Source organism: Homo sapiens, chromosome X (genome assembly GCF_000001405.40).
Source record: "Homo sapiens chromosome X, GRCh38.p14 Primary Assembly".
Taxonomy (NCBI): Eukaryota; Metazoa; Chordata; class Mammalia; order Primates; family Hominidae; genus Homo; species Homo sapiens.
In genome coordinates, this window is record NC_000023.11 from 155,188,705 (window position 1) to 155,210,105 (window position 21,401).

At 40.4% G+C, this 21,401-nt stretch overlaps 1 protein-coding gene across 1 annotated transcript in view, besides 2 other annotated features; it reads left to right on the forward strand.

The window, feature by feature from the left end:
* Positions 8,303-21,401, forward strand: part of VBP1 (VHL binding protein 1) — a 42,835-nt gene continuing 29,736 nt past the window's right edge. Inside the window, exons 1-2 of the mRNA NM_001303544.1 lie at positions 8,303-8,435; positions 20,170-20,277. Coding sequence (NP_001290473.1) covers positions 20,200-20,277 — 78 coding nt within the window. The 5' untranslated portion in view covers positions 8,303-8,435; positions 20,170-20,199. The remainder of the gene's footprint in view (positions 8,436-20,169; positions 20,278-21,401) is intronic.
* Positions 8,850-9,351: an enhancer, noted in NCBI's record as "H3K4me1 hESC enhancer chrX:154425831-154426332 (GRCh37/hg19 assembly coordinates)". NCBI's record gives its function as "activates a minimal SCP1, AML or CMV promoter by ChIP-STARR-seq in naive H9 embryonic stem cells {active_cell/tissue: H9 hESC(naive)}" and the evidence as "EXISTENCE:reporter gene assay evidence [ECO:0000049][PMID:30033119]".
* Positions 9,352-9,851: an enhancer, noted in NCBI's record as "H3K4me1 hESC enhancer chrX:154426333-154426832 (GRCh37/hg19 assembly coordinates)". NCBI's record gives its function as "activates a minimal SCP1, AML or CMV promoter by ChIP-STARR-seq in naive H9 embryonic stem cells {active_cell/tissue: H9 hESC(naive)}" and the evidence as "EXISTENCE:reporter gene assay evidence [ECO:0000049][PMID:30033119]".

The window sequence follows — 21,401 nt, forward strand, 5'->3', positions numbered from 1 at the left end:
TTTGATTAAACATGTTTCCCGCTATGAGTTCTCAGAAATTTAAGAAATACACAAAGGAACCAGGTGGGAATTAAAATTCAGATCTCGCTTTACGACCTAAAATATAGAACTTTGCAGTAAAGCTAGATTAGAGAAGATAGCAAGGGCTTCTACCTACCTCTTCAAATTGAACTTACTCCCCCAGTCACTCTTGTGAAAACTGTAGAACTGGATGGTGGAGACTTCAAAGGGACAGGAAGTTCTGCAAAGATGAGCCAACCTCTTAAGAAGGAAGTAGTAACAGTGCATGCCACTTGCTAGCAAGCTTTAGACCAGGAGGACTTTATGTAATACTGTAGCTTAGTGGTTAAGAGTACAGGCTTTGGCAGCAGACTGCCTGACTTGGAAACGAGGTAGAGCCTACTTAATATCTGCGCGACCTTGGACAAAGTACAGAACCTCTCCATGCCTCAGTTTTCTTACCTGTAAGATGGAGATTAATATGGCACCTGTCTTATAAGTTGTTATGAGGGTTAAATGAGGTAACACATGTAAAATGCTCAGAATAGTGCCTAGGTCACAGTTAGCGCTCAAAAAATATTTGTAATATGATGATGGTGATGATGATGATGATGATGGAGACTATGTGGCACAGTCCTCCCGCCCACTAATATATGAGACATAGACCACTAAATTAAATCCCCTCAGTCCTCAGGGAGGGATATGGAAATAAGAGGGCAAGGAGAATAACCATTTCCCCTAACAACAATTAAGATGCTCTGTGGGCATTGAGAACACACGTGGCATAGTTCCCCCTTGACAGAATTTTCTAGAACCTTGCTATACTTTCTTATTCTCAAGCTTCAATATTCATACGGTTCACCTAGAATTCTTAAAATGAAGTGGGTTTGGGATGGAGATTGAGATTCTGCATTTCTTTTTTGAAAAAACTTTTAAATTTATTTTTAAATTTTTATTTTATTTTATTTTAAGTTCTGGGATACATGTGCAGGATGTGCAGGCTCGTTACATAGGTAAACGTGTGCGATGGTGGTTTGCTGCACCTATCAACCCATCACCTAGGTATTAAGCCCCGCATGCACTAGCCATTTATCCTGATGCTCTCCCTCCCCTAACCCCTCCTGCAGGTCCCAGTGTGTGTTGTTCCCCTCTCTGTGTCCATGTGTCCTCATTCTTCAGCTCCCACTTATAAGTGAGAACATGTGGTGTTTAGTTTTCTGTTCCTGTATTAGTTTGCTGAGGATAATGTCTTCCAGCTCCATCCATGTCCCTGCAAAGGACATGATCTCATTCCTTTTTGTGGCCACATAATATTTCGTGGTGTATATGCACCACATTTTCTTTATCCAGTCTATTATTGATGGGCATTTGGGTTGATTCCACATCTTTTCTATTGTGAATAGTGCTGCAGTGAACATACATGTGCATGTATCTTTATAACAGAATGATTTATATTCCTTTGAATATATACCCAATAATGGGATTGCTGGGTCAAATGGTATTTCTGGTTCTTGGTCTTTGAGGAATCGCCACACTGTCTTCCACAATGGTTGAACTAATTTGTATTCTCCCAAACAGTGTAAAAGCATTCCTATCTCTCCACAGCCTTGCCAGCATCTGTCGTTTCTTGACTTTTTAATAATCTCCATTCTGACTGGGGTGAGATGGTATCTCATTGTGGTTTTGATTTGCATTTCTCTAACAATCAGTGATGGTGAGCTTTTTTTTTATATGTTGTCCACAACATATAAAATTGCTTTTGACATTCTTTTGAGAAGTGTCTGTTCATGTCCTTTGCCCAATTTTTTATGGGGTTGTTTCTTTTTTCTTGTAAATTTAAGTTCCTTGTAGATTCTGGATATTAAACCTTTGTCAGATGGATAGCTTGCAAAAATTTTCTCCCATTTTGTAGGTGGTCTGTTCATTCTGATGATAGTTTCTTTTGCTGTGCAGAAGGTCTTTAGTTTAATTAGACCCCATTTATCAATGTTTGCTTTTGTTGCGATTGCTTTTGACATTTTCGTCATGAAATCTTTGCCCATGCCTATGTCCTGAATAGTATTGCCTAGATTTCCTTCTAGGGTTTTTATAGTTTTGGGTTTTATATTTAAGTCTTTTATCCATTTTGAGTTAATTTTTGTATAAAGTGTAAGGAAGGGTCCAGTTTCAATTTTCTGCATATGGCTAGCCAGTTTTCCCAGCACCATTTATTAAATGGGGAACCCTTTCCCCATTGCTTGTTTTTGTCAGGTTTGTAAAAGATCAGATGGTTGTAGGTGTGCAGTTTTATTTCTGAGATCTTTATTCTGTTCCATTGGTCTATGTATCTGTTTTGGTACCAGTACCATGCTGTTTTGGTTACTGTAACCTTGTACTGTAGTTTGAAGTCAGGTAGTATGATGCCTCCAGCTTTGTTTCTTTGCTTAGGATTTTCTTGGCTATATGGGCTCTTTTTTGATTCGATATGAATTTTAAAATAGTTTTTTCTAATTTTGTGAAGAATGTCAATGGTAGCTTAATGGGAATAGCATCAAATCTATAAATTACTTTGGGCAGTATGGCCATTTTCACGATATTGATTCCTCCTATCCATGAGCATGGAATGTTTTTCCATCTGCTTGTGTCCTCTTTAACTTCCTTGAGCAGTGGTTTGTAGTTCTCCTTGAAGAGGTCCTTCACTTCCCTTGTTAGCTGTATTCCTGGTTATTTTATTCTCTTTGTAGCAATTGCAAATGGGAATTCACTCATGATTTGGCTCTCTGCTTGTCTGTTGTTGGTGTATAGGAATACTTGTGATTTTGGCATATTGATTTTGTATCCTGAGACTTTGCTGAAGTTACTTATCAGCTTAAGAAGCTTTTAGGCTGAGATGACAGGGTTTTCTAGATATAGGATCATGTCATCTGCAAAGAGAAACAGTTTGACTTCCTCTATTCCTACTTGAATAGGCTTTATTTCTTTCTCTTGCCTGACTGACCTGGCCATAACTTCCAATACTGTGTTGAATAGGAGTGCTGAGAGAGGGCGTCCTTGTCTTGTGCTGGTTTTCAAGGGGAATGCTTCCAGCTTCTTGCCCATAAAGTATGATATTGGATGTGAGTTTGTCATAAATGACTCTTATTATTTTGAGGTATGTTCCATCAATACCTAATTTATTCAGTTTTTAACATGAAGGGATGTTGAATTTTATCAAAGGCCTTTTCTGTGTCTATTGAGATAATCATGTGTTTTTTGTCTTTAGTTCTGTTTATGTGGTGAATTACATTTATTGATTTGTATATATTGAACCAGGCTTGCATCCTGGGGATGAAGTGAACTTGATTGTGGTGCATAAGCTTTTTGATGTGCTGCTGGTTTCTATTTGCCAGTATTTTATTGAGGATTTTTGCATTGATGTTCATCAGGGATGTTAGCCTGATGTTTTCTTTTTTTTAGTTGTATCTCTGCCAGGTTTTGGTATCAGGATGATGCTGGCCTCATAAAACGAGTTAGGGAGAAGTCCCTCCTTTTCAATTGTTTGGAATAGTTTCAGAAGAAATGGTACCAGCTCCTCTTTGTACCTCTGGTAGAATTCAGCTGGTAGGCTATTTAATACTGCCTCAATTTCAGAACTTGTTATTGATCTATTCAGGAATTCACCTTCTTCCTGGTTCATTCTTGGGAGGGTGTATGTGTCTAGGAATTTATCCATTTCTTCTAGATTTTCTCGTTTATTTGCATAGAGGTGTCTATAAATAAATAATGTGTCTATAAATAATACTGTAAAGTATTCTCTGATGGTTGTTTGTATTTCTGTGGGGTCAGTGGTGATATCCCCTTTATAATTTTTTATTGTGTCTATTTGATTATTCTCCCTTTATCCTTTATTAGTCTAGCTAGTAGTGTATTTTATTAACTGTTTCAAAAAAACAGCTCCTGGATTTGTTGATTTTTTAAGGTTTTTTTTTTTGTGTGTGTATCTATCTCCTTCAGTTCCACTCTGATCTTGGTTATTTCTTGTCTTCTGCTAGCTTTGGGGTTTGTTTGCTCTTGGTTCTCTAGTTCTTTTAGTTGTGATATTAGGGTGTTGATTTGAGATCTTTCTAGCTTTTTGATGTGAGCATTTAGTGCTATAAATTTCCCTCTTAACGCTGCTTTAGCTGCGTCCCAGATATTCTGGTACGTTATCTCTTTGTTCTCATTGGTTTCAAAGAACTTCTTGATTTTTACCTTAAGTTCATGATTTGCCCAGGAGTCATTCAGGAGCACATTGTTCAATTTCCATGTAGTTGCTGTGGTTTTGAGTGAGTTTCTTAATCTTGAGTTCTTATTTGATTGTGCTGTGGTCTGAGAGACTGTTGGTTATGATTTCAGTTCTTTTGCCTTTGCTGAGGATTGTTTTACTTCCTGTTATGTGATTGATTTTAGAGTAAGTGCCATGTGGCACTGAGAAGAATGTATATTCTGTTGTTTATGGGTGGAGACTTCTGTAGATATCTATCAGATTCACTTGATCCAGAGCTGAGTTCAAGTCCTGAATATCCTTGTTAATTTTCTGTCTTGATGGTCTATCTAATATTGACAGTGGGTGATAAAGTCTCCCACTATTATTATCTGGGAATCTAAATCTCTTTGTAGGTCTCTAAGAACTTGTTTTATGAATCTGGGTGCTCTGGTACTGGGTGCATATGTATTTAGGATAGTTAGCTCTTCTTGTTGAATTGATCCTTTTACCATTGTATCATGCCCTTCTTTGTATTTTTTGATCTTTGTTGGTTTAAAGTCTGTTTTGTTAAAAACTAGAATTGTGGCCAGGTGCAGTGGCTCACGCCTGTAATCCCAGCACTTTGGGAGGCCAAGGTGGGCGGATCGTGATGTCAGGAGATCGAGACCATCCTGGCTAACATGGTGAAACCCCGTCTCTACTAAAAATACAAAAAATTGGCTGGGCATGGTGGCGGGCACCTGTAGTCCCAGTTGCTCGGGAGGCTGAGGCAGCAGAATGGCATGAACCTGGGAGGCGGAGCTTGCAGTGAGCTGAGATCATGCCACTGCACTCCAGCCTGGGCGACAGAGCAAGGCTCCATCTCAAAAAAAAAAAAAAACAAAAAAAAAAAAAACCAGAATTGCAACCCCTGCTTTTTACTGCTTTCCACTGCTTGGTAAATTTTCTTCCATCCCTTTCTTTTGAGCCTATATGTGCCTTTGCACATGAGATGGTTCTCTTGAATACAGCACACCACTGGGTCTTGACTGTTTATCCAGCTTGCCGTTCTGTGTCTTTTAATTGGGGCATTTAGCCCATTTACATTTAAGGTTAATATTTTCAGGTGTGAATTTGATTCTGTCATCAGGATGCTAGCTGGTTATTTCACAGACTTTTTATGTGGTTGCTTCATAGTGTCATTGGTCTTTGTACTTCAGTATGTTTTTGTAGTGGCTGATAACAGTTTTTTCTTTCCATATTTAGTGCTTCCCTCAGGAGCTCTTGCAAGGCAGGCCTGGTAGTGACAAATTTCCTCAGTATTTGCTTGTCTGAAAAGGATCTTATTTCTCCTTCACTTATGAAGTTTAGTTTGGCCAGATAGGAAATTCTGGGTTGGAAATGCTTTTCTTTAAGAATGTTGAATATTGGCCCCCAATCTCTTCTGGCTTGTAAGGTTTCTGAAAAGAGGTCCACTGTTAGTCTGATGGGCTTCCCTTTGTAGGTGACCTGGCCTTTCTCTCTGGCTGTCCTTAACATTTTTTCCTTCATTTTGACCTTGGAGAACCTGATGATTATGTGTCTTGGGGTTCATCTTCTCATGGAGTATTTTACTGGAGTTCTCTGGATTTCCTGAATTTGAATGTTGGACCTGTCTTGTTAGGTTGGGGTAGTTCTGCTGGATGATATCCTGAAGTATGTTTTCCAACTTTGTTCCATTGTTCCCCTCTGTTTCAGGTACCCCAATTATTCGTTGGTTTGGTCTTTTTACATAATCCCATAGTTCTCGGAGCTTTTGTTTGTTCCTTTCATTCTTTTTGCTCTAATCTTGTCTGTCTTATTTCAGCAAGATAGTCTTCAAGTTCTGAAATTCTTTCCTCTGCTTGGTCTATTTGGTTATTGGTACTTGTGGTTGCATTGTGAAATTCTCATGTTATGTTTTTCAGCTCCATCAGTATTGGGGGAACCCGCCCCCAATATTTCAACATAGGTTCTTTCTATTTTCCATACGTGTCGGCTGGCTGAGAAATAAAGAGAGACCGTACAAAGAGAGGAATTTTACGGCTGGGCCACTGGGGGTGACATTACATATCAGTAGGACTGTGATGCCCACCTGAGCCTCAAACCAGCAAGTTTTTATTAAGGGTTTCAAAAGAGGAGGGGGTGTAAGAACAGGGAGTAGGTACAAAGATCACATGCTTCAAAGGGCAAAAAGCAGAACTACTAATAAGGATCTAACAAAGATCACAAGGCAAAGGGCAAAAGCAGAACTATTGATAAAGGTCCAACAAAGATCACAAGGCAAAGGGCAAAAGCAAGAACCACTGATAAGGGTCTATTTTCAGCGGTGCACATGTTGTCTTGATAAACATCTTAAACAACAGAAAACAGGGTTTGAGAGCAGAGAACCAGTCTGACCACAAATCTACCAGGGTGGAGTTTCCCAACCCTAGTAAGCCTGAGGGTACTGCAGGAATCCAGGGCATATCTCAGTCCTTATCTCAACTGCACAAGACAGACATTCCCAGAGTGGCCGTTTATAGACCTCTCCCCAGGAGCGCATTCCTTTCCCAGGGTATTAATATTAATATTCCTTGCTAGGAAAATAATTTAGCGATATCTCTCCTACTTGCACGTCCATTTATAGGCTCTCTGCAAGAAGAAAAATATGGCTCTTTTTGCCCGACCCCGCAGGCAGTCAGACCTTATGGTTGTCTTCCCTTGTTCCCTAAAAGTCGCTGTTATTCTGTTCTTTTTCAAGGTGCACTGCTTTCATATTGTTCAAACACACGTTTTACAATCAATTTGTACAGTTAACACAATTATCACAGTGGTCCTGAGGTGACATACATCCTCAGCTTACGAAGATAACAGGATTAAGAGATTAAAGACAGGCATAAGAAATTATAAAAGTATTATTTGGAAACTGATAAATGTCCATATTAAAATGAAATCTTCACAATTTATGTTCCTCTGCCGCAGCTCCAGCTGGTCCCTCCATTCAGGGTCCCTGACTTCCCGCAACACATTGGGTCATTTCTGTTCCTCTCTAAAGTGGTTATTCTGGTAAACAGCTCCTGTGATGATTTATCATGGTTCTTAGCTTCTCTGCGTTGGGTTAGAACATGGTTCTTTAGCTCAGTGAAGTTCATCATTACCCACGTTCTGAAGCCTACTTCTGTCAGTCCATCCATCTTGGCCTCCACCCAGTTCTGTGCCCTTGCTGGAGAGGTGTTATGATCACTTGGAGGAGAAGAGGCACTCTGGCTTTTTGAGCTTTCAGCATTTTTTTTGTTGATTCTTTCTCATCTTAATGAGTTTACCTAGCTTTGATCTTTGAGGCTGCTGACCTTTAGATGGGGTTTTTATGGGGACTTTTTTGTTGATGCTGTTGTTGCTGTTGCTTCCTGTTTGTTTTTCTTTTAACAGTCAGGCTACTCTTCCATAGGGCTGCTGCAGTTTGCTTGGGGTCCACTCCAGATCCTAGTCACCTGGGTCCCTCCTGCACCTGGAGGTATCACCAATGGAGGCTGCAGAACAGCAAAGATGGCTTCCTGCCCCTTCCTCTGGGAGCTCTGTCCCAGAGGGGCACCAACCTGATGCCAGTGGGAATGCTCTTGTATAAAGTGTCTGGCGACCCCTATTGGGGGGCTCTCACCCAGTCAGGAGGCATGGGATCAAGGACCCACTTAAGGAAGCACTCTGGCTGCCCCTTGGTGGAAGGGGTGCACTGTGCTGGGGAGAAATCTTACTCGTCCACACTGCCTGGATTCCTCAGAGCCAGCAGGGAGAAAGACTAAGTCGGCTGATCCATGGAGACTGTGGCTGCCCCTCCCCCCAGGGGCTCTGTTCCAGGGAGATCAGAGTTCTGTCCATAAACCCCTGGCTGGAGTTGCTGAAATTCCTGCAGCAAGGCCCCACCCAATGAGGAGGGTTGGGTTAGGGTCCAGCCTAAAGAGGCAGTCTGGGCTGAGCGTGGTGGCTCACACCTGTAATTCCAGCACTTTGGGAGGCCGAGGTGGGTAGATCACCTGAGGTCAGGTGATATAACTGTGTCTCATGTTATATCACCTAGTAATGGACAAAGAAACAAAGACAGGGATTAAAGTTATGACTGGTATTACTCAGCTTTTCATCTGCTGTGTTGAAAGCCAACTTATCATTTTTCACATTATTGTATACATCTAAAAGACATCATAAACGAAGACTGGAAGTGAAAACTGAAAAACTGAGAAAGTTTTATTTGTTGGAGGTAATGTGATTATGGTTGAAATTTTTATTTAATTTGTCTATTGTTATTGTTTTGTTTATGCAGTACAGAAAAGTCACAACTCTTTCTTTCTTAGCTAAGTTCACATTACTCTCTGATGTGCAATGTTTTCCAAGCAAATTCCTGTTCCTCAGGAAATTTGAGCTATTGTGAACTCTGCTCTGCCTTCTAAAACAACACAGCAATAATTAGATGTCTTTAAACCTCTTAAGGAAAGATAATTGCTTAAGGAAAGATCACTGTCTTGGCTATAAAAAGTTCACTATGAATTTGTTCTCAATGTTAAACATATAGCAGAAAATGTTCTGTATCTTTTAATATTGCTTATTAAATACTAGTAGAAAATTTACTTTTTGTCAAGGTTCTACCTCCAGTGACTCCCCAGCAAATGCCTATGTATAGAATGGTAAGAAAAAACGCTCTTTTTTAATCATTCATTTGAGTTTATTAGAAAATTTTGAGAGCTGGCAGCCAAGATGGCCGAATAGGAACAGCTCCAGTCTACAGCTCTGAGCGTGAGTGACGCAGAAGACGGGTGATTTCTGCATTTCCATCTGAGGTACCGGGTTCATCTCACTAGGGAGTGCCAGACAGTGGGCACAGGACAGTGAGTGCAGCGCACTGTGCGCAAGCCGAAGCAGGGCGAGGCATTGCCTCACTTGGGAAGTGCAAGGGGTCAGGGAGTTCCCTTTACTAGTCAAAGAAAGGGGTGACAGACGGCACCTGGAAAATCGGGTCACTCCCACCCTAATACTGTGCTTTTCCGATGGGCTTAAAAAACGGCGCACCAGGAGATTATATCCTGCACATGGCTTGGAGGGTCCTATGCCCACAGAATCTCGCTGATTGCTAGCACAGCAGTCTGAGATCAAACTGCAAGGTGGCAGCGAGGCTGGGGGAGGGGCGCCCGCCATTGCCCAGGCTTGCTTAGGTAAACAAAGCAGCCAGGAAGCTCGAACTGGGTGGAGCCCACCACAGCTCAAGGAGGCCTGCCTCCCTCTGTAGGCTCCACCTCTGGGGGCATGGCACAGACACACAAAAAGACAGCAGTAACCTCTGCAGACTTAAATGTCCCTGTCTGACAGCTTTGAAGAGAGCAGTGGTTCTCCCAGCACGCAACTGGAGATCTGAGAACAGGCAGACTGCCTCCTCAAGTGGGTCCCTGATCCCTGACCCCCGAGCAGCCTAACTGGGAGGCACCCCTAGTAGGGGCAGACTGACACCTCACACGGCGGGGTACTCCTCTGAGACAAAACTTCCAGAGGAATGTCAGACAGCAGCATTCGCAGTTCATGAAAATCCGCTGTTCTGCAGCCACTGCTGCTGATACCAGGCAAACAGGGTCTGGAGTGGACCTCTAGCAAACTCCAACAGACCTGCAGCTGAGGGTCCTGTCTGTTAGAAGGAAAACTAACAAACAGAAAGGACATCCACACCAAAAACCCATCTGTACATCACCATCATCAAAGACCAAAAGTAGATAAAACCACAAAGATGGGGAAAAAACAGAGCAGAAAAACTGGAAACTCTAAAAAGCAGAGCACCTCTCCTCCTCCAAAGGAACGCAGTTCCTCACCAGCAACGGAACAAAGCTGGACAGAGAATGACTTTGACGAGTTGAGAGAAGAAGGCTTCAGATGATCAAACTACTCCGAGCTACAGGAGGAAATTCAAACCAAAGGCAAAGAAGTTAAAAACTTTGAAAAAAATTTAGACGAATGTATAACTAAAATAACCAATACACAGACATGCTTAAAGGAGCTGATGGAGCTGAAAGCCAAGTCTCGAGAACTACGTGAAGAATGCAGAAGCCTCAGGAGCTGATGCGATCAACTGGAAGAAAGGGTATCAGTGATGGAAGATGAAATGAATGAATGAAGTGAGAAGGGAAGTTTAGAGAAAAAAGAATAAAAAGAAATGAACAAGGCCTCCAAGAAATATGGGACTATGTGAAAAGACCAAATCTACAACTGATTGGTGTACCTGAAAGTGACGGGGAGAATGGAACCAAGTTGGAAAACACTCTGCAGGATATTATCCAGGAGAACTTCCCCAATCTAGCAAGGCAGGCCAACATTCAGATTCAGGAAATAAAGAGAACGCCACAAAGATACTCCTCGAGAAGAGCAACTCCAAGACACATAATTGTCAGATTCACCAAAGTTGAAATGAAGGAAAAAATGTTAAGGGCAGCCAGAGAGAAAGGTCGGGTTACCCTCAAAGGGAAGCCCATCAGACTAACAGCGGATCTCTCGGCAGAAACTCTACAAGCCAGAAGAGAGTGAGGGCCAATATTCAACATTCTTAAAGAAAAGAATTTTCAACCCAGAATTTCATATCCAGTCCAACTAAGCTTCATAAGTGAAGGAGAAATAAAATCCTTTACAGACAAGCAAATGCTGAGAGATTTTGTCACCACCAGGCCTGCCCTAAAAGAGCTCCTGAAGGAAGCACTAAACATGGAAAGGAACAACCAGTACCAGCCACTGCAAAAACATGCCAAATTGTAAAGACCATTGAGGCTAGGAAGTAACTGCATCAACTAACGAGCAAAATAACCAGCTAACATCATAATGACAGGATCAAATTCACACATAACAGTATCAACCTTAAATGTAAATGGGCTAAATGCTCCAATTAAAAGACACAGACTGGCAAATTGGATAAAGAGTCAAGACCCATCAGTGTGCTGTATTCAGGAAACCCATCTCTTGTGCAGAGACACACATAGGCTCAAAATAAAAGGATGGAGGAAGATCTACCAAGCAAATGGAAAACAAAAAAAGGCAGGGGTTGCAATCCTAGTCTCTGATAAAACAGACTTTAAACCAACAAAGATCAAAAGAGACAAAGAAGGCCATTACATAATGGTAAAGGGATCAATTCAACAAGAAGAGCTAACTATCCTAAATATATATGCACCCAATACAGGAGCACCCAGTTTCATAAAGCAAGTCCTGAGTGACCTACAAAGAGACTTAGACTCCCAAACAATAATAATGGGAGACTTTAACACCCCACTGTCAACATTAGGCAGATCAACGAGACAGAAAGTTAACAAGGATACTCAGGAATTGAACTCAGCTCTGCACCAAGCGGACCTAATAGACATCTACAGAACTCTCCACCCCAAATCAACAGAATATACATTTTTTTCAGCACCACACCACACCTATTCCAAAATTGACCACATAGTTGGAAGTAAAGCTCTCCTCAGCAAATGTAAAACAACAGAAATTATAACAAACTGTCTCTCAGACCACAGTGCAGTCAAACTAGAACTCAGGATTAAGAAACTCACTCAAAACCGCTCGACTACATGGAAACTGAACAACCTGGTCCTGAATGACTACTGGGTACATAACGAAATGAAGGCAGAAATAAAGATGTTCTTTAAAACCAACGAGAACAAAGACACAACATACCAGAATCTCTGGGACACATTCAAAGCAGTGTGTAGAGGGAAATTTATAGCACTAAATGCCCACAAGAGAAAGCAGGAAAGATCCAAAATTGACACCCTAACATCACAATTAAAAGAACTAGAAAAGCAAGAGCAAACACATTCAAAAGCTAGCAGAAGGCAAGAAATAACTAAAATCAGAGCAGAACTGAAGGAAATAGAGACACAAAAAACCCTTCAAAAAGTTAATGAATCCAGGAGATGGTTTTTTGAAAGGATCAACAAAATTGATAGACCGCTAGCAAGACTAATAAAGAAGAAAAGAGAGAAGAATCAAATAGATGCAATAAAAAATGATAAAGGGGATATCACCACCGATCCCACAGAAATACAAACTACCATCAGAGAACACTACAAACACCTCTGCGCAAATAAACTAGAAAATCTAGAAGAAATGGATAAATTCCTCGACACATACACCCTCCCAAGACTAAAGCAGGAAGAAGTTGAATCTCTGAATAGACCAATAACAGGCCCTGAAATTGTGGCAATAATCAATAGCTTACCAACCAAAAAGAGTCCAGGACCAGATGGATTCACAGCCGAATTCTACCAGAGGTACAAGGAGGAACTGGTACCATTCCTTCTGAAACTATTCCAATCAATAGAAAAAGAAGGAATCCTCCCTAACTCATTTTATGAGACCAGCATCATCCTGATACCAAAGCCGGGCAGAGACACAACAAAAAAAGAGAATTTTAGACCAATATCCTTGATGAACATTGATGCAAAAATCCTCAATAAAATACTGGCAAACCGAATCCAGCAGCACATCAAAAAGCTTATCCACCATGATCAAGTGGGCTTCATCCCTGGGATGCAAGGCTGGTTCAATATACACAAATCAATAAATGTAATCCAGCATATAAACAGAACCAAAGACAAAAACCACATGATTATCTCAATAGATGCAGAAAAGACCTTTGACAAATTCAACAACCCTTCATGCTAAAAACTCTCAATAAATTAGGTATTGATGGGACGTATCTCAAAATAATAAGAGCTATCTATGACAAACCCACAGCCAATATCATACTGAATGGGCAAAAACTGGAAGCATTCCCTTTGAAAACTGGCACAAGACAGGGATGCCCTCTCTCACCACTCCTATTCAACATAGTGTTGGAAGTTCTGGCCAGGGCAATTAAGCAGGAGAAGGAAATAAAGGCTATTCAATTAGGAAAAGAGGAAGTCAAATTGTCCCTGTTTGCAGATGACATGATTGTGTATCTAGAAAACCCCATTGTCTCAGCCCAAAATCTCCTTAAGCTAATAAGTAACTTCAGCAAAGTCTCAGGATACAAAATCAATGTGCAAAAATCACAAGCATTCTTATACACCAATAACAGACAAACAGAGAGCCAAATCATGAGTGAACTCCCATTCACAATTCCTTCAAAGAGAATAAAATACCTAGGAATCCAACTTACAAGGGACGTGAAGGACCTCTTCAAGGAGAACTACAAACCACTGCTCAATGAAATAAAAGAGGATACAAAGAAATGGAAGAACATTCCATGCTCATGGGTAGGAAGAATCAGTATTGTGAAAATGGCCATACTGCCCAAGGTAATTTATAGATTCAATGCCATCCCCATCAAGCTACCAATGACTTTCTTCACAGAATTGGAAAAAATTTTAAAGTTCATATGGAACCAAAAAAGAGCCCGCATTGCCAAGTCAATCCTAAGCCAAAAGAACAAAGCTGGAGGCATCATGCTACCTGACTTCAAACTATACTACAAGGCTACAGTAACCAAAACAGCATGGTACTGGTACCAAAACAGAGATATAGATCAATGGAATGGAACAGAGCTCTCAGAAATAACGCCGCATATCTACAACTATCTGATCTTTGACAAACCTGAGAAAAACAAGCAGTGGGGAAAGGATTACCTATTTAATAAATGGTGCCGGGAAAACTGGCTAGCCATATGTAGAAAGCTGAAACTGGATCCCTTCCTTACACCTTATACAAAAATTAATTCAAGATGGAGTAAAGACTTAAACGTTAGACCTAAAACCATAAAAACCCTAGAAGAAAACCTAGGCATTACCATTCAGGACATAGGCATGGGCAAGGACTTCATGTCTAAAACACCAAAAGCAATGGCAACAAAAGCCAAAATTGACAAATGGGATCTAATTAAACTAAAGAGCTTCTGCACAGCAAAAGAAACTACCATCAGAGTGAACAGGCAACCTACAAAATGGGAGAAAATTCTCACAACCTACTCATCTGACAAAGGGCTAATATCCAGAATCTACAATGAACTCAAACAAATTTACAATAAAAAATCAAACAACCCCATCAAAAAGTGGGCGAAGGACATGAACAGACACTTCTCAAAAGAAGACATTTATGCAGCCAACAGACACATGAAAAAAATGCTCACCATCACTAGCCATCAGAGAAATGCAAATCAAAACCACAATGAGATACCGTCTCACACCAGTTAGAATGGCGATCATTAAAAAGTCAGGAAACAACTGGTGCTGGAGAGGATGTGGAGAAATAGGAACATTTTTACACTGTTGGTGGGACTGTAAACTAGTTCAACCATTGTGGAAGTCAGTGTGGCGATTCCTCAGGGATCTAGAACTAGAAATACCATTTGACCCAGCCATCCCATTACTGGGTATATACCCAAAGGACTATAAGTCATGCTGCTATAAAGACACATGTACACGTATGTTTATTGTGGCACTATTCACAATAGCGAAGACTTGGAACCAACCCAGATGTCCAACAATGATAGACTGGATTAAGAAAATGTGGCACATATACACCATGGAATACTATGCAGCCATAAAAAATGATGAGTTCATGTCCTTTGTAGGGACATGGATGAAATTGGAAATCATCATTCTCAGTAAAGTATCGCAAGGACAAAAAACCAAACACCGCATGTTCTCACTCATAGGTGGGAATTGAACAATGAAAACACATGGACACAGGAAGGGGAACCTCACACTCTGGGGACTGTTGTGGGGTGGGGGCGGGGGGAGGGATACCATTAGGAGATATACCTAATGCTAAATGACGAGTTAATGGGTGCAGCACACCAGCGTGGCACATGTATACATATGTAACTAACCTGCACATTGTGCACATGTACCCTAAAACTTAAAGTATAATAATAATAAAATAAAAAAAAGAATGCTTGGAATCAATTACACCCAATTGCTGTTAAATTTCTCCAATTTATCATGCTATACCTTGCATGAGTAGTCAAAGAGGACATAGTATACAAAGTATATAACACAAAGATAGTTTGAGTAATACGGTGGAAAGACTATATCACAAGATTGGAAACACCCTGGGATCAAGATCAAATTCTAATGATTTGCACAGCTATCGGACCTTGTGGTGTAACACATGGATTATGCATTATGTGTTAGAAATGGTTTGTGAAGGAATTCATCGATTTTGTAGCTTGTTTTATTTAGGCTCTGCACAGAACATCTATACTGTATGATTGTTCACTTTATCTCGTGCAGCTGTTTGCTAGAGAACCATAAAGAAGGGTTTTGAAAACATTTTTTTTTTGAGATGGAGTTTCACTCTGTCACCCAGGCTGGAGTGAAGTGGCACGATGTCGGTTCACTGCAACCTCTGCCCCCCGGGTTCAAGCGATTCTCTTGCCTCAGCCTCCCAGGTAGCTGGGGTTACAGGCGTTTGACACCACGCCAGGCTAATTTTTTTATTTTTAGTAGAGATGGGGTTTCGCCATGTTGGCCAGGCTGGTCTTGAACTCCTGACCTCAGGTGATCCGCCCGCCTTGGCCTCCGAAAGTGCTAGAATTACAGGTGTGAGGCACCACACCCGGCCAGAAAAGCCTCTTTTAAGATATCAAGAGTTGGATATATGGTTACAACTACGAACAGAAAAAAATTATACAGATATTTTTAAATGGAAGGTAATCCATCCACATTCTTTTCTTGCATTGGAAAAAATGGCAGCTCTCTGAAAAATAATATAGCACATGCCTTGTGAGATGGCTAACAGTAATAAAGAAAGGAACCCTGGAAATGGGGATGAAAAGAGATGCACAGAAGTGGAATAGTCAAGAGAAAGCTGCTTCAGAATTAATAGATAATCCAAAATAGGAATTATCAACATGCACATAATAGAGATTCAAGTATTAATATGGTTTAGTTTAGGTTACATTCTTGGTTTATTCTAAGAGTTATGAACTACTGTTTGCTGCTGGTTTTTCTCCCCTTCTGAAGGATTTTATTGTTGTCTCATTTTGTTTTGTTTTATTTGCCATTTTGCTGTTTGGGATCACTTCTAGTCTATATTAATCAGGTTTAAAAAGTTGAACTGATTTTGCTGTTATCATATAAAGCTTCTAATGGGAGACATTGTTAATACAGATAGAATATCTGGAATTTTTCTGATTCCAACTTTCTTTTAACTCATTTTTAGTTTATTGTTTATATTCTGCTTATTTGGCAAATTTTCATGATTTAAAATTTTTCTTAGTTAAAAATTGTTTGTAATCACTAGTTCTATTTGTAGCTTCAGTGCACTGCATAAATTTTATGCAATACAATACAGGTAATGGAAACTCTGAAGTCATTTAGTTGCTCCAGCCACACACCAATTAGCTCATGTTGTTTTTGCTGTTGGTCCATTCCAGAAAATGGTAAATATACAGGAACATACAGAGGATAACAAATATTCATGTTTCTGATACATCTCAAATTGCACGTGTCCAAAACTGTACCCTTGATCTCCCCAAAGCTGTTCTACTTGCAGCCTTCCCAATCACAGCTGATGACATCTCCATCCTTCCAGTTGCTCAGGCCAAAAGCCTTGCAGTCCTCCTTAATACATCTTTCTTTCACTCCACATACAATTCATGAGCAAATGCAATGGCCTTTATTTTCAGAATGCATCCTAACTTTTTCCTAATCCATTTTCTTTCACCTGGGTCACTGCAGTAGCCTCCTACCTGGGCTCCCTGCTTCTGCCCTTGCTCCCTACAGTGTTCTTCACACTGCAGCCAGAGTGATTGGCTTACAGTTTAAGTCAAATCAAGCAACTTCATTGCAATTGCCCCCACTTCTCCCAGAGCAAAAGCCAAGATCCTCCATGCTTCCTCTCTGCTTCCATCTCCTGACACTCCTGCCTTGCTTAGTTCTTTCTAGGCACAGGGCTACTCGGTATATATTCTTGAAGTAAGGCAGGAACAACCCATGTTTGTATTAAAGGACATTGAGGTTGTCTCCCCGGTTCACTTTTCAACTCACTTTAATGTGACTTCTATCCCCACTGTTCCACTAAACTGCTAACGTAAAGGTCTCTAATGACTTTCATGTGACTGAATCTAATAGCTACTTCTCTGTCCTTGTCTTACTTAGTCCTTCTGTCTTATCACTCAACTAGCACATATTCTAATTCTAGGAATATGGCAATAATTAAAAGAAACAAAAACCCATGTCCCTGTGGGATGTACATTCTAGTGGAGGGAAGAAATAAATAAGGTGACAAGTGCCATGGAGAAATTTGCAGCAGGGAAGAAGAATTAAGAGTATTGGAGTAGGTTTCCATTTTAAATAGGCTGGTCAGTGGGAACTCTATTGAAAAGGTGACTCAGTCTTGAGTAGAATTTTTTTTTTTTTGAGACAGAGTCTTGCTCTGTTGCCCAGGCTGGAGTGCAGTGGCACAATCTCGACTCACTGCAAGCTCCGCCCCTTGGGTTCACGCCATTCTCCTACCTCAGCCTCCCGAGTAGCTGGGACTACAGGCACCTGCCACCACGCCTGGCTAATTTTTTAATATTTTTAGTAGAGATGGGGTTTCACCGTGTTAGCCAGGATGGTCTCAATCTCCTGACCTCGTGATCTGCCTGCCTCGGCCTCCCAAAGTGCTGGGATTACAGGTGTAAGCCACTGTGCCTGGCCTTGAGTAGAAATTTTAAAGAGTAGAAGGAGCAAGTCAAGTGGAAGAGCATTCCAGGAGAGGGAATAATCAGTGCAAACACCTTGAAGTAAGAGTGTGCTGAGAGAAAGAATGGATGAAATCAACTAGGGGTGAGTGGAGAATGAGCCCAAGGGTCGTCTGTCACTGGGGCAAGGAAATGAGAAGGAACCTGCAAAAGAGGTGGAAAAGGAGTGGCCAGTGAGAGAGGAGGAAACACTCTCCCTTCCTAGAGTTAGAAACACCATTTTCTCTTAGTTTTCCTCCTACCTCATATCTCTTTTGAGTCCTGTTTGTGGACTTCTCTATACATCCTCTATAATAATATACTGTATGTGCCAGTTAGTTTCCAGAAGAGGATTCGAGTATAATATGATACTAGGTGTGCATGCATGTTAGAACTATGAGTGAACCCAAGCCCAGAAAAAATAGACTTAGTAAGAATTTAAGGTAGAAGGAGTAGAACTGAGATACTCCACAGGTCAGGGTCCAAGTACCAAAGGAGTGTGGTAGATTCCAGGTTAGGCATCAGTAACCAAAGTCCATTTATTAGTATAACAGGGCTTGAGGCAAAAGTATGGGTTGCAGAAAAAACTATGAAGGGCTACGTAAAAAGCCAGGCTATTTCAGATTCTTTCCAAACAATGGTGAACAGAACAGGGCCCATTTCCCAGGGAGAGAAGCTGACAGGAATCGGGTAAAAAGTAGATCCTAGCATTGACTTGACTACAGAATGAGAATCCCACTCCTCAGGCATGAATAACTATGGACCCAGGTGGACTGAAGGAGGTATATTCACCTAGGTTTCCTAAAAGGACTAGGTGCTCAGTCTAGTCACCACATGGGGCTATTCCAGGGTGTACTATCTGATAGCATCACAGAAGTAGACCAAGATCTTCATCCTCAGGCAAGAGCAATTTCAAGGATTTCTAGGCAGCACTGGTTTGTAAGGCAAGAGGTCTTGGTACCTTGCTCACTTAGGCCCTTTGTTTGATACTGCAGAAGTGGCATCCCTGCACACTGAAGATAGCTAGGAACTGCTTCCAAATTGCTGGCATGGGGCTGAGACAGGAGGAAGGACTGGAAAACTTAAATGTTACTATCAACTAAAATTCTTTTAACTTCATTTTCACTTCTCATCCATTCTATATATATGTGGGTATTTTTTTAAGATCCAAGTGCTAGACTCTGTTAACCTTCCTCTTATTCAGTTGGGACCCTATCTCTAGTCTGTCGAGAAAATTAATGTTTCTGATTATATTTAATATATTCATTATCCTTTCCAATGTGTATGTTATTCACATGCTCAGTGAACATGTCCTCTACAACATTTTCATTGATAGATGAAGATGAACAAGAAGATCAAGAACATAACCCTGTAGTGTATCACCAGAAACCTCTCAGCAGGTCAACATATTAACCCTTAGCCTTTGGTTATGAGTCATTTGAACAGTTTCTAATTTACCCAGTTGTTCTTAAGTAAGCCCATATTTCCTCAATCAGTGAGGGAGAAGTGAGGGAAAAGATCAAGAGGAGGAAGCAGTAGGCTTGGTAAGCCATGCCAAGGAGTTTACACACTATCTACAGTCAATGAGGGTCCATTTAATGGTTTTAAACAGTGGAGGGAGATGGTCACAGTCTTATATTAATGGGTCTGTGCAACCTCCTTAGTTTGTTCTTCATTAATTGCTATTCTTTCATCTTTTGAATATAATTTAAAATCTGAGCTCATAAAGTAACTAGAAGAGTAAAACAAACTAAAGAGATGTCAAAGCCTTTCTAGTTCCACCTACGTCCTTGACCTGATGTGCTTGCGCTTCCTTCACTACTTTCATCTGGCAAATTTCTATACATCCTTCACATTTAACCTGTAGATCGCCATATCAAATCATATGTTCATACTAAAGTATTTCATGAAAGATACATACATACCAGTATACATTTAACATGTTCCATGTCCACCTACAAACTTCCTTTCTTTTTCCTATGAGTATTATTGGCCTTGAGATGTTGGAGTTCTGTCTTGAAAAGAGTCATTTGTAGGCCTTACTTTGTGGCTAATTCATCCCTGCTTTTCAATAACTATTCTTTAGGTTTTCCACACTCTTTGGTCTGTCACACTTTATCACTAGCAGCCCCTTCACAGATACATTTTCGTCTTTTTCTTTGCATCTGGCATTTAGCATTCCTTTCAATTGATGCTTATTAAATATTAATATAATATTTACTCTAGGGGGCTACTTGTTCTCATGGTACTATTGTATTAGGAGAGCAATTAAATACTAATTAATTTTTAACTGATTGTTTTCTTTTACAATTCATAGGTTCCAACTCCATTGGGAGCTCCTTCTCTAATGGCACCTCAACCCATGATTCATACCCAGCAAGGCCTAAGGACCAGTAGTCCTTCCACTCCATCCCCAGAGCATCAGGTACGTTTGGGCTGTTGTTGCTAAGGGCCTTGGCAGAGATAGGCAGTCACTGGAGGCAGGATCAGTGTTATAATGGAGTTTTGCAACATAGCCATCTTTTGTATACTGTTGGTCTCTCATAGAAGAAAGCATAGTTCTAACATTTTCATCATCATAGAAAGACACAGAACTGTGCAGACCTGGTGCAGACCTCTATAAACTTGTGTTGTTAAGCCTCAACTGGCTTCTTATATTTATTCAGCCATCCTTTTATTCATTTATTTGTTTATTCAGTCAACAAACCCAACTGTGATTAGTATTGGAGAAGTGGCTAACTCAGTCTGGAGATTTCAAGGATGACTTACCAGAGAACTGATACTTAAGTTTAATGATAAGATTTAAAAATAGACAGAGAGTTAACAGAGTGAGAAAGCGTGCTCCAGATAAACACAGACACAGAGAGGGAAGCACAAAGCACCATGGGAACTCAAAGAACGGAATAATTAATTTAGCAAAGGAAGCTTTCAAGTACTGAATGATAAAGAAGATTTCAAATAGTAGATGTATAGCGGATAGAAGAAGTTTGGCATTACAGGCAGAAAGAATAGGTTGAACAAAGAAGTGGAAGTAGGCAGTGGTAATATGAGTGAGTATAGCTGAAGTGTATGGGAGAGTGTCATGATCCAGGTGTCCATTGTCTCAGAGTATTGTTTTCTAGAAGACTTTACAAGGTTTCTTCTTTCAGTCTTCAGCTGATGTGCTGAGCCCCCTGATACCTGAACATTTGTTTTAGGAGGAGTGACAAAGCTTCAGGTGTTAGATAATGAGAAAAATGACGAGAGTTTTGTATTAAAATATTTGTAATTTATTTCATAACTACAAATAAAAATATGTATAAATGATTAAATATTTACAGATCTGTCTCTCATTCAGACGCAGTCCAAGTAGAGGTCCCAAAGCAAAAAGATTCAGATTCAGAAGTGAATAAAAAGATCTTTCAACAGGCTGAACTGAATCCTCCACATCTTCCAAGTAAAATAAACGTTTACTTGGAAGACATTCAATACTCTTGAAATTCTTTAATTTGACGTTTGGAGGTTATGTACTCTATTTTTCTTATTTTAATGGTTAATAATTCACCTAAC